Here is a 12,994-nt window from a genome sequence, read left to right as displayed (position 1 = left end):
ACTCAGGGATCCAGGCTGACAAAAGCCCCATCTCTGCATGTGTCCTTGATCACCACTTCAGGGGAAAGGGAATGTGGTGGATCATAGAGCCTCTTAACACTTCCACCTAGAGGTGACTCAAGTTGCTGCTGCTCATGGTTCATTGGACAAAACGGATCACAGAGTCATGGGCAACTTCTCTGTGCCTGGAAGGGGAAACAAAATATGAATAGCCACATTGATTTTCCCTAGATATTACACAGAAAGCCTCATTTAAACACAGTTACTTATTTGTGTTTTGAAGCTAACTGTAGTCCATCAACCTTCACAGAAGATATGTGCACTTCCAAGCTATTATTAAGCACAATTTTTTTTTTTTTTTTTTTTTTTTTTTGAGACAGAGTCTCACTCTCTTGCCCAGGCTGGAGTGCAGTGGCATGATCATGGATCACTGCAACTTCTGCCTCCTGGGTTCAAGTGATTTTCATGCATCAGTCTCCCAAAATGCTGGGATTACAGACACCCACCACCACGCCTGGCTAAGTTTTGTATTTTTAGTAGAGATGGGGTTTCACCATGTTGGCCTGGCTGGTCTGGAACTCCTGACCTCAGGTGATCCACCTGCCTCAGCCTCCCAAAGTGCTGAGATGACAGGCATGAGCCGCCGCGTGCGGCCTTGAGTATGATTTTTGATTTGGAAGGTCAGAGTTAGGGTTTTAGTCTGAGGACTGTATGATGTGAAGGTGAAAAGCAGAGCTTGGCTGTGAGTTTGCTGGGATTCCTGTGCTGCTTCTACAGTTCTTTGGCTGTGTGACCGTCACCTTTGGCAAGTTCCTTTACCTTTCTATGTGTTGGTTTCCTCATCAGTAAAATGGAAAAAATAATCATAATCATAATAACTATTGGTGTTGGGATAGCCCAGTGGTTGACACATAAGGACTCAAAAATATTTTTTTGTTTTTTGTTTTTTTTTTAAGATGGAGTCTTGCTCTGTTGCCAGGCTGGAGTGCATTGGTGCAATCTTGGCTCACTGCAACCTCTGTCACCTGAGTTCAAGCGATTCTCCTGCCTCAGCCTCCTGAGTAGCTGGGATTACAGGCGCCTGCTACCACTCCCAGTTAATTTTTGTATTTTTAGTAGAGACGGGGTTTCACCATGTTGTCCAGGATGCTCTCGATCTCTTGACCTCATGATCCACCCACCTCAGCCTCCCAAAGTGCTGGGATTACAGGCATGAACCACCGTGCCCAGCTCAAAAATACTATTATTAATTTTGGGGGGCAGTTACTATATTTTGTGAAAATCAGAGTTCAGTGCCTTGTAACACTGGGTTGGGATCTATCCCTGAAGGAACAGGCTTCTAAAGAGGAAGGCATCGAGAGAGGGGCAAAATTTTAGTGGACGCTGTAATGACTTTAGGTATATGGACCTGGGGCTGTGTTCTAGCTGGGGCCGCCAGGTAGTAAGGTGGACTTTGCTAAATTCTATCACTTTCCTGGGTCGCAGATTCACTTGTTACAAATGGGGTTAAAGCATCCCTCTTCCAGGGCTAAGATAAAGATGATTAAGTAAGAGGGAATGAAAGCAACTTTCATCAATTGTCAAAAGTATTCATTTAACTTCTTTTTTTTTTTTTTTTTTGAGATGGTGTCTCTCTCTGTTACCCAGGTTGGAGTGCAGTGGCATGGTCCCGGGTCACTGCAACCTCACCTCCTGGGTTCAAGTGATTCCCCTGCCTCAGCCTCCTGAGTAGCTGGGACTACAGGTGCGTGCCACCACGCTTGGCTAATTTTTGTATTTTTAGTAGAGACGGGGTTTTACCATGTTGGCCAGGATGGTCTCGATCTCCTGACCTTGTGATCCACCCACCTTAACCTCCCAAAGTGTTGGGATTACAAGCATGAGCCACCATGCCTGGCCCATTTAACTTCTATATTACTTTCCTGTTGGTGGATTTACCAGTGCAAACTGAGCAGCTTAATACACCATCCAGTTATTATCTGTTTCCATGAACCAAGGGTCTGGGCAGGGTTTAACTGGGTCTTCTATTCAGGGTCACAATACTACAATCAGAGTGTCAGCTGGGGTCTCAACAGATGCTCAGTGTCCTCTTCCAAGCTTATTCAGTTTGTGGACTGAATTCAATTTCTTGCAATTGTTGAACGAAGGCCCTCAGCTCCTAGAGCTGCCACCTCCAAAGACAGTTCACAGCATGGCCATTTGTGTCTCCTTGGAGGCTAAGGGTTGAATCTCTGAAACTTCATCTTTAAAAGACTCACCTGATTAGGTCTGGCCCACCTAAGATCATCCTCCTTTGGATGAACTCAAAGTCAGCTGAGCAAATGTGCTTAACAAAGCAAGTGTGACCATAATCACATTTGCAAAATTCCTTCCCCTTGGCCAAATCACAAGCTCTGCACACACTCAAGAAGAGATGATACAGGGAGCAGATATAAGGGAGTGGTTCTCTTGGGGGCTGTACTAGAATTCTGCCCATTACAACTTCCTTTCTCGAGGAACAGCAGGCCTGGGGAGAGATGATCATGGATGAGAGCAGCCCACAGGTTGTGAGTGCCAGGTGCTAGCGTAGGATGCAGGAGGCTGCTAAGCAAGTATGAAAAGCCTTCTGTGGGCTGGGTGGAGTGGCTCACACCTGTAATCCCAACACTTTGGGAGGCCAAGGTGGGCAGATCACGAGGTCAAGAGATCGAGACTATGCTGGCCAACCAACATGGGGAAACCCCGTCTCTACTAAAAATACAAAAATTCGCTGGGAGTGGTGGCACACGTCTCTAACAACCCAGCTCTCCAAGTGAGCAATTCCTGTCCCTTTTAAGGGCTCACAACTCTAAGGGGGTCCGTGTGAGAGGGTCGTGATCATGAGAGAGTGGTGATCGATTGACCAAGAAGGGAGTACGTGACTGGGGGCTGCATTCAGCAAACCCCGTCTGTACTAAAAATAGCAAAATTCAGCAGTCTCAGGATAAAAGTCAATGTGCAAACATCACAAGCATTCGTATACACCAATAACAAACAGAGAGCCAAATCATGAGTGAACTCCCATTCACAATTGCTTCAAAGAGAATAAAATACCTAGGAATCCAACTTACAAGGGATGTGAAGGACCTCTTCAAGGAGAACTACAAACCACTACTCAATGAAATAAAAGAGGATACAAACAAATGGAAGAACATTCTATGCTCATGGGTAGGAAGAATCAATATCATGAAAATGACCATAGTGCCGAAGGTAATTTATAGATTCAATGCCATCCCCATCAAGCTACCAATGACTTTCTTCACAGAATTGGAAAAAAACTACTTTAAAGTTCATATGGAACCAAAAAAGAGCTGGCATTACCAAGTCAATCCTAAGCCAAAAGAACAAAGCTGGAGGCATCACGCTACCTGACTTCAAACTATACTACAAGGTTACAGTAACCAAAAAAGCACGGTACTGGTACCAAAACAGAGATATAGACCAATGGAACAGAACAGAGCCCTCAGAAATAATGCCACATTATCTACAACTATCTGATCTTTGACAAAAACAAGAAATGGGGAAAGGGTTCCCTATTTAATAAATGGTGCTGGGAAAACTGGCTAGCCATATGTAGAAAGTTGAAACTGGATCCCTTCCTTACACCTTATACAAAAATCAATTCAAGATGGATTAAAGACTTAAATGTTAGACCTAAAACCATAAAAACCCTAGAAGAAAACCTAGGCAATACCATTCAGGACATAGGCATGGGCAAGGACTTCATGTCTAAAACACCAAAAGCAATGGCAACAAAAGCCAAAATTGACTAATGAGATCTAATTAAACTCAAGAGCTTCTGCACAGCAAAAGAAACTACCATCAGAGTGAACAGGTAACCTACAGAATTGGAGAAAATTTTTGCAGTCTACTCGTCTGACAAAGGGAACTATGACTTTCTTATAACCAAGAGAATATGGCACAGGTGATGGGATGTAGTGATTATGTTAGATCGGATGTTAAGTTGTCTTGCTAGGAGGCTATCTTGCTGGCTTTGAAGATGTGAGCTGCCATGTCATGAGTGGCCAGATGGAGAGGCCCATGTGGCAAGAAGCTGAGGACAGCAGGAACCTGGGGCCCTGAGTCCAGCAGCCTGCAAGGAACTGAATGCTACCAACAACCAGATGAGATGGGAAGCAGATCAATCACCAGTCAAGCCTCCAGATGAGAACTGAGCCCTGGCTGACATTATGGTTGCAGCCTTGCACTGAACCCAGCTGAGTCACGCCTGGATTCCTGACCCACAGAAACCACGTAGTGATAACTGTGTGCTGTCTCACGCCACAAAGTTTGCAGTAATATTGTTGCACAGCAATAGATAACTAATATAAAAACTGTCCTACATCATGTACATTACTGAGGGAAATGTAGAACCTGGATTTGAGCTCTGATTTCAGAGTTGTGGTCTCAGTCTCCCCAGGGAGACCTGTCCTGGGAGACAGTTATGCCAGGCTGTGATGCTGTGATGATTGTTCTCTTCCTACCCAGAAGCTTTCAATAGGCACGTCAAGCATGTGACCCCAGCTACATATACCAAATATATTTCTGACAAATGCCAGGACATCGTGAGCTTTCTTGTTTTACTGAGAGCTCCATAAAGGAAGGATCATCTCTGTCTTTTTTTTTTTTTTTTTTTTTTTTTTAAGAGTCTCACTCTCACCCAGGCTGGAGTGTAGTGGTGCGATCTCGGCTCACTGCAGTCTCTGCCTCCTTGGCTCAAGGGATTCTCCAACCTCGTCCTCCTGAGTAGCTGGGATCAAAGGTGTGCATCACCACACCCAGCTAATTTCATATTTTTGGTAGAGATGGGGTTTACTCATGTTGGCCAGGCAGATCTTGAACTCCTGACCTCAAGTGATTTGCCTACCTCGGCTTCCCAAAGTGCTGGGATTACAGGCATGAGCCAATGCACCTGGCCTGCCTTTTTTATGTTATGTCCATGTGAAACAGCCCAGTGGTCAGCACACAAAGGGGTCCAAATGTGAAAGGAAAGGGCAAACACAGGGGAAACCTAGGGGTGTTCAGAAATAGTTCCCAGGTCACTGCCTGTTTCAATATTTACAGTCCTGGGCCCCACGCACAAGATTCTGACTTGGCAGGTCAGAGTTGGAGATGGGGAGCTACCTGGTTACGAGGTATCCCAGTGCATTTTGAGGCAGCTGGTTGTTAAGACTGCATTGTAAAAATTACCCCCCAAAGATGTGAAGGGAAACAGAAAGACATTGGCAGGCTAGAAAACAACACAAGTAAGACATGAACAAGTTCATTCCAGAAGGAGATTCTCAAACACAGCTGCACATCAGAATCACCTGGGGAGATTTTACAACCCCAGTGCCCGGGCTCTGCAGCCCAGATCAATTATTACAGAATCTCTTGGGGATGAAACATGGTCATCAGTAGTTTTGGTTTGTGTGTGTGTGTGTGTGTGTTTTTTGTTTTTTTGTTTTTTTTTTGAGATGGAATCTTGTTCTGCCACCCAGGCTGAAGTGCAGTGGTGCGATCTCAGCTCACTGCTACCTCTGACTCCCGGGTTCAACCCATTTTCCTACCTCAGCCTCCCAAGTAGCTGGGATTACAGGTGTGCACAGCCACGCCTGGCTAATTTTTGTATTTTTAATAGAGATAGGGTTTCACCATGCTGCCCAGGCAGGTCTCGAACTCCCAGCCTCAGGTGATCTGCCCGCCTTGGCCTCACACAGTGCTGGGATTACAGGCATGAGCCATTGCTCCTAGCAGTATTTTTTTAATGAGGCAAAATTCACATAACATACAAGTCCCTGTATGAAACCATACACTTCAGTATCATTAAATACATTCACAATGTTAAGCAATCATCATCTCTGTCTAGTTCCAAAACATTTTCATTAACACCCCCCGCCCCCCCAAAAAATAACCCTGTATCCATCAAGCACTCTGCATCCCCTCCCCTTTCCCCCAGCTCCTGGCAACCACTTACCTGCTTTCTGCCTCTACAGATTTGCCTATTCTGGGCCTTTCATATAAATGGAATCATGTAATATATATAATAAGCAAAAGGTAGCAACAACCAAGATGGCCATTTGGTTGATGAATGAATAAACAAAATGTGCTGTATCCATACAGTGGAAATACTGGTGCCTACTACATGTGGATGGACCTTGGAAACATCACGCTAAGTGAGAGAGAGCCTTGGTATTGTCTCATCTCCCCAGGACATTCCAAGTTGCAGCCAAGGTTGAGACCCACTGACAAGCAACGGATATGGTTGGGTGCAGATGAAATAAGGCAGCCAGGGGCAGGAGGGATGTCTCATTGAAGATGACTATTTGTGGATGCCAAGCAGGGGTGGGGATGAGGTATGATAACAGCAACCCCAATCCCAACACAGCGTGACCGATTTTATCTTCAGCCATCTGATACGCCTCATGGGGTTTGGACACAGGACACCTCTGCTTCCCAGGTTCAAGCCATAACACCTGCCTCAGCCTCTTAAGTAGCTGGGATTACAGGCATGTACCACCACGCCTGGCTAATTTTTGTATTTTTAGTAGAAACGAGGTCTCATCATGTTGCCCAGGTTGGTCTCGAACTTCTGGCCTTAAATGATCCACCCACCTCAGCCTCCCAAAGTACTGGGATTATAGGCATGAGCCACAGTGGCAGCCTCCAAATTCTATTTGAAGTTTGACTTTCCACCTCCAGAAAATCCAACCTTTTCCCAAGTCACAGTGGGACACCCCGGAGTTAATTTGAGAGAAAAGTGCTTTTAAAAACAACTCTAGGCCAGGCGCAGTGGCTCACGCCTGTAATCCTAGCACTTTGGGAAGCCGAGGCGGACGGATCATGAGGACAGATCAAGACCACCCTGGCCAACATGGTGAAACCCCGTGTCTACTAAAAATACAAAAAATTAGCCGGACATGGTGGCACATGCCTGTAAGCCCAGCTACTCGGGAGGCTGAGGCAGGAGAATCACTTGAACCAGGGAGTCAGAGGTTGCAGTGAGCCGAGATCACGCCACTGCACTCCAGCCTGGCGACAGAGAGAAATTACAGAAATAAATAAATAAATAAGTCCCACCGATATGAACACCAAACTAGAATCATTCCACTGACTTCCCTCCACCAAGCAGGGGGAGTGATGGTGATGGTGCATGAGTGTCTATTTGCTTTGAGTCTTAATGGAAAATAAGGTTGTGCCACTCAAAGGAGAAACAAATCGCAGCCCAGACTGGAGCTGTGGATGAATAACATGGCTGAGGGTTGGTACAGGCTTTCCACAGCAATATTAAAACTGAAAAAATCAGCAATGAAGCTCCCAGCCACATTTCTGCCAAATGATTTGGGGGAAAACAACAGAGGCACTCCTCAACTTTTCCTTCGCTGCACAAAGTGGGTTTGGCTGGAAATGCCAAGTGTGCTTGTTGCTGGGATCTTTCAAATGAAAGCAAGCTGGGAGTCAACCTCCTGCAGCCGCAGGCCAGAAATGGGTTGAGACCAAACTATTATAGTAACACTGGGGCACATCTAAACAGATTTAACTCCCTCACAGCAATCCAGATTAATTTAATATCCTTTCTTAGTGGCATTCTGCATTTCCCATTAAAGCAAATAAACATCCATCCCTCTGTGATAAATTAGGGCAAAAAAAAAATTCATATGTTTAGGGCATAGGGACGGAGGAGTTGTTGGGTGTTAAAAAAAAAAATACTGCAAATGGCCTTTGAAAGTCTAGACATCTTCATCATAAACACAAACATTCCTCTTCACAAAGGGACCTCAAGTAACCTTAGGCTGGAGGGCCCACTTCAGTATGTTTTTCTTCTCATTCTTTCTCATCTTCCCTCCAGCCCCCACAACCCACATTCAGTGACCAAGTCACGTGGGTTTTTCCTCCTAAATCTTTTCAGATCCGTTCACTGCTCAGCCACTCTCCTGACACCACCATAAAGCAAGCCACCATCACCTCCAGTTGTTTGACTGCAAATGCCTCCTCACTGGCCTCTGTCTTCCCCTGGCCCTGTGACAATCTGCACTCCTCACAGGGACCAAAGCGATCACTTCAGAAGGTGCATCCAAACCGATCACTCGCTTTCAATGGCTCCCTCTGCTGTGTGGGTTAACAATGATAAAAGCTCGGCCGGGCGCGGTGGCTCACGCCTGTAATCCTAGCACTTTGGGAGGCCGAGGCGGTCGGATCATGACGTTAGGAGATCCAGACCATTCTCCCTAACACGGTGAAACCTTGTCTCTACTAAAAATACAAAAAAATTAGCCGGGCGTGGTGGCGGGCGCCTGCAGTCACAGCTACTTGGGAGACTGAGGCAGGAGAATGGCGTGAACGCGGGAGGTGGAGCTTGCAGTGAGCCGAGATCGTGCCACTGCACTCCGGCCTGGGCGACAGAGTGAGACTCCGTCTCAAAAAAAAAAAATTATAAAAGGTCATCTTTACTGAGCACACACTATCTCATTCCATCCCTACATCAGTCCTTTATTTCACCAATGGGGAAGCTGGGACACAGAGTAGTTAGGTGGGATGCCCAAAGTGGGACCACTCGTGTGAAGTTTCCACACACTAATGTGAGACCCTCCGTGACCTAGCCCCTCTCTTTCTCCAGCCTCATTTCCTGATTGTCTCGCTTGCCCTGCAGGCTTCAGCCACACAAACTTCTTGAAAGTCCCTTAAATCTGACTGAGCGCAGTGGCTCACACCTGTAATCTCAGAACTTTGGGAAGCTGAGGCGGCTGGATAACATGAGATCAGGAGTTCGAGACCAGCCTGGTCAACATGGTGGAACCCCCATCTCTACTAAATATCCCAAAATTAGCCAGGTGTGGTGGGTGGCACCTGTAATCCCAGCTACTCAGGAGACTGAGGCAGGAAAATCGCTTGAACTCGGGAGGCAGAGGTTGCCATGAGCCAAGATCGCACCACTCCACCCAAGCCTGGGCGTCAAGAGTGAAAGTCCGTCTCAAAAAACAAGTCCCTTAAATCTGCTCTATGCCTATCAACCTCAGGGCCTTCACTATGCTGTTTCTCACCCTGAAATGCTGTTCCTCATTTCTCTACATAGTGAACTCATCCCACTCCCTAGGCCTCTCCTTAAGTGTCATCTCTTCAAGGAAGATTTTCTTTTTTATATAACTCTTAAAATATAATTCAGGTACCGTATGATTTGCCCATTTAAAGTGAACAAATCAATGGTTTCAGTGCATTCACAGAGCTCGGCAACCACCATCATGATCAGTTTTAAAACATTTACATCACCCCAAAAAGAAACCCTGTATCCATGAGCAGTTTCCTGCCATTTCCTCCTCCCACTAAGCCCTGAAAATCTACTTTTTTTGAGATAGAGTATCTGTCACAGGCTGGAGTGCAGTGGCACAATCTCGGCTCACTACAACCTCCGCCTCCCGGGTTCAACCAATTCTCCTGCCTCTCGAGTAGCTAGGATTACAGGGATGTGCCACCACGCCCATCTAATTTTGTATTTTTAGTAGAGACAGGGTTTCTGTCTTCATAGATTTGCGTGTTCTGGACATTTCATATAAATGACATCTTAGAATATGTGACTTTTTGTGACTGGTTTCTTCCACTTAGCTTAATATTCTCGTAGTTCATCCGTGTTGTAGCACGTGTTAGTACTTCATTCCTTTTGATGACTAAATAATATTCCATTGCATAGTCAAACCATGTTCTATTTCTCCACTCATCAGTAGACAAGCAATTGTGTTGTTTTCACTTTGGCGCTATTATGAATAATGCTGCTATGAGCATTTGTGCACAAGTTTCTGGACGGACATATATTTTCATTTCTTTCATAAACTGGAGTGGAAGTGCTAGGTCATAGAACTCTGTGTTTAAGCTTTTGAAGAAGTGCCAGACTGTGTAAGAAAGCAAGCCTTTCCTCACCCTGGGAGACTGAGCTCCCTCGCTCCATTTATACATTCTCTTTAAGCCCTTTGCTTCTCTTTAGAGCAATTCACGTTGACCTGGGTCACCATCAACTGAAGGCTCATAACTCCCCTAGATCCTCAGGGTCCACACTAAATGTGATGAAATATGATGCAAGCCACATATTTACTTTTGCATTTTGTAGTAACCACATTTTAAAAAGTAAAACAAAAGAAGTGAAGGTAATTGGAATAATATCACAGATTTAAACAAATCTATCCAAAATAGCAGGTCAACATGTATAAAATATTTTAACAATAACAAAATACTTTGCTTTCTTTTTATATTAAGTCTTCACAATCTAATGTGTATTTGACACTTCTCGCACATTTCAGAATGATGGCAGCAGCCCATATGGGGGGCCCGCCCATGATGCCAATGATGGGTCCTAATACTCCTGGGATGATGCCAGTGGGACCTGCTCCTGGAATGAGGCCGCCCCTAGGAGGCCACATGCCCATGATTCCTAGGTACCCAATGATGAGATCTCCTGCCCGTCTCATGATGGTGCCCAGTCAGCCCAGAATGACTCGGCCAGACAGATAAGGATAGAGGGGAGGCCTCATTGCATCAGTGTTGTTTTCTTGTTGTTATTGTTGTGTTTTTTTTTGTTTGTAATGTTTTGCTTTATTTTTGAGACAGAGTCTTCCTCTGTCGCCCAGGCTGGAGGGCAGTGGCATGATCTCAGCTCACTGAAACCTCCACCTCCCGGATTCAAGCGATTTCCCTGCCTCAGCCTCCTGAGTAGTGTGGGACTACAGGCGTGTGCACCATGCCCGGCTAATTTTTTTTTTATTTTAGTAGAAACGGGGTTTCACCATGTTGGCCAGGATGGTCTCAATCTCCTGACCTCGTGACCCGCTCGCCTCAGCCTCCGAAAGTGCTGGGATTACAGGTGTGGGCCACTGCGCCTGGCCTATATGAATTTTATATTTACCTGCTCCCTTCACCAGGAGATCATGCTGCTGTGATATCGGGTTTTCTTAACAGCATAAGGAAGACTTGCCCCCTTGCCCTATCAAAGAGAATAGTTTTGGAAGGGAGAAGTGGGGCCAAAAAAGACGCAGTTTTCATTTGTATTGGGAAATGTGAAAATAAAATTGCCAACTGCTTTAGTTAAAAACAAAAAAAAGAAAAGGAAACAAGATGTGGGGCTGCCATATGCAATACCGTGGATTCTACAGATCTTCTACTCTGGAGGCAAATATTATCTTCGCTGAAGCCAGACCAACCTGACACAAAGGCCTTTTGGTTTTTTAATGTGACTGTGTTTTATTTTAGAATGTGTAATTCACTTTAGAAGGGCAAAGTACCTGTCTGGGGAAGACTATTTAATTTCCTGCATTTATTTAGAATGCTGGCTGATGTTATTATGAAGGGAAACAGCTCTAACAACTGAGTGTCCCCCACATAGACACAGCTCATGAGTTCAAGGGGCAAAGGAATTGAACAGCAGCCTCCTAATAGCCGGCCTTCTTTGTGATGCGGAAATAATTATCAGCATGTAAAAGACTATATATATATTCAACAATTCTGACACCCTGCAAAATTCAAATCTACAACTGATTTGCTTCCTGGGCTCCTGAAAACAACTTTGTCAAAATTGTTCAGAAATATAATCAGCCAATCGTTGCCCCTTGGGGACGCAGGATAAAGCAAGTCAGCCATGACCAATGTGGAGTCGGCCGTGCACAATGACATGCAGACTTGCAGGACATCGAGTCCCTGCTATGGTCCCTCCCCAGTCAGGCCCCCATTGCCTGGGCTGCAGCCAGAAGCATTCAGGCACAAGTGCATTCAACAAATACTTATTTAATTGTATTGGTGGTTAGAGGGTTGCGATTGATTAAGGTACATTAATGGATCCATGTCCTCCCTGTATCCAAGACTCTGCCATTTGTCTCTGCAGTTCCTCCCACTGAAGAATCGGAGTATATTTCTCCAGTCCCTAATGTTGGGTTTTGAATTGTGTCTAGCTTTGGCCACTGGAATATTAATCTGTATGACCAAAAACTTGGAAAGTGTGAATTCATTTGTGCTCGCTCACTCCTGCTATCACCATGAGAACAAGCCTAGGCCAGGCTGCTGCTTCCAGCAGAAGATAAGAGACACCAAGAGCAAAGTCGAGCTTCCCAGACATGCTCATGCTAGACTGACCAATCCTCAGCTGACCCATAGATCCATGAAAATAAATGATTGTTGTATTAAGCCACTGAGATTTGTAGTGACTTGTTATGCAGCATTTTGTGACAACAACTAACTGATACAAGGGTCACTGTCCTTTATCTCTGTAGATTTTAACCAATTTTTAATAGCTAGATGGAGATCATCTAGTTGCCTTTATTTATAATGAATATGACTGTAGAGCTAGTTTGGCCTGACACTACCAGTAACCTACCCAGAAATTCAGAAATACTTTCTTCTCCAACCCGCCCCAACCAACCTATTTTTTGTTTGTTTGTTTTTGGGTTCTCCCTCTTTGCCTAGGCTAGAGTACAAGTGTTACAGTCAGAGCTCACTGTAACCTCAAAATCCTGGGCTCAAATGATCTTGCCCTTCAGCCTCCTATGTAGCTAAGACTACAGACATGTGCCACCATGCCTGGCTAATTTTTTTATTCTTTGCAGAGAGAGGGTCTCACTATATTGCCCAAGTTGGTTTCAAACTCCTGGCCTCAAGCAGTCCTCCTGCCTCACCCTTCCAAAGTGCTAGGATTATAGGCATGAGCCACCACACCCAGCCTCTTCTTCTTTTTAAATAGAAACCTTATTTTATTCTGACAGTGGGTTGCTTTCTTTTTTCTTTTTTTAAGAAAAAGTTGGCCCAGCCCTAGGGAATAAATTTTGACTGCTCTAAACAGGGTTGGCCAACTATAGACCAAGGGCCAAATCTGGCCCTCTGACTGTATAAATTAAGTTTTACTGGAATAAATCCAGGTCCATCGATTTATCCATTGTCTACATATGCTTTTAGGCTACGATGGCACCACTGCGTCACTACAACAGAGGTTATCTAGACCAAAAGCCTAAAATATTACCGTTTG

The 12,994-nt window shown here is 45.0% G+C and overlaps 1 long non-coding RNA gene and 1 pseudogene across 2 annotated transcripts in view; both read left to right on the top strand.

Annotated features, from left to right (window-relative positions):
• The window catches only part of LOC105369250 (uncharacterized), a 117,941-nt gene that overhangs the window by 90,176 nt on the left and 14,771 nt on the right, over positions 1-12,994 (top strand). The gene's annotated exons all lie outside the window — the stretch shown is intronic.
• SNRPCP16 (small nuclear ribonucleoprotein polypeptide C pseudogene 16) lies at positions 10,288-10,540 on the top strand (annotated as a pseudogene).

This window comes from Homo sapiens, chromosome 4 (genome assembly GCF_000001405.40).
Source record: "Homo sapiens chromosome 4, GRCh38.p14 Primary Assembly".
Classification (NCBI taxonomy): Eukaryota; Metazoa; Chordata; class Mammalia; order Primates; family Hominidae; genus Homo; species Homo sapiens.
Note: the sequence above shows the minus strand (reverse complement) of the source record. Positions and strands in the feature narration are given on the sequence as shown.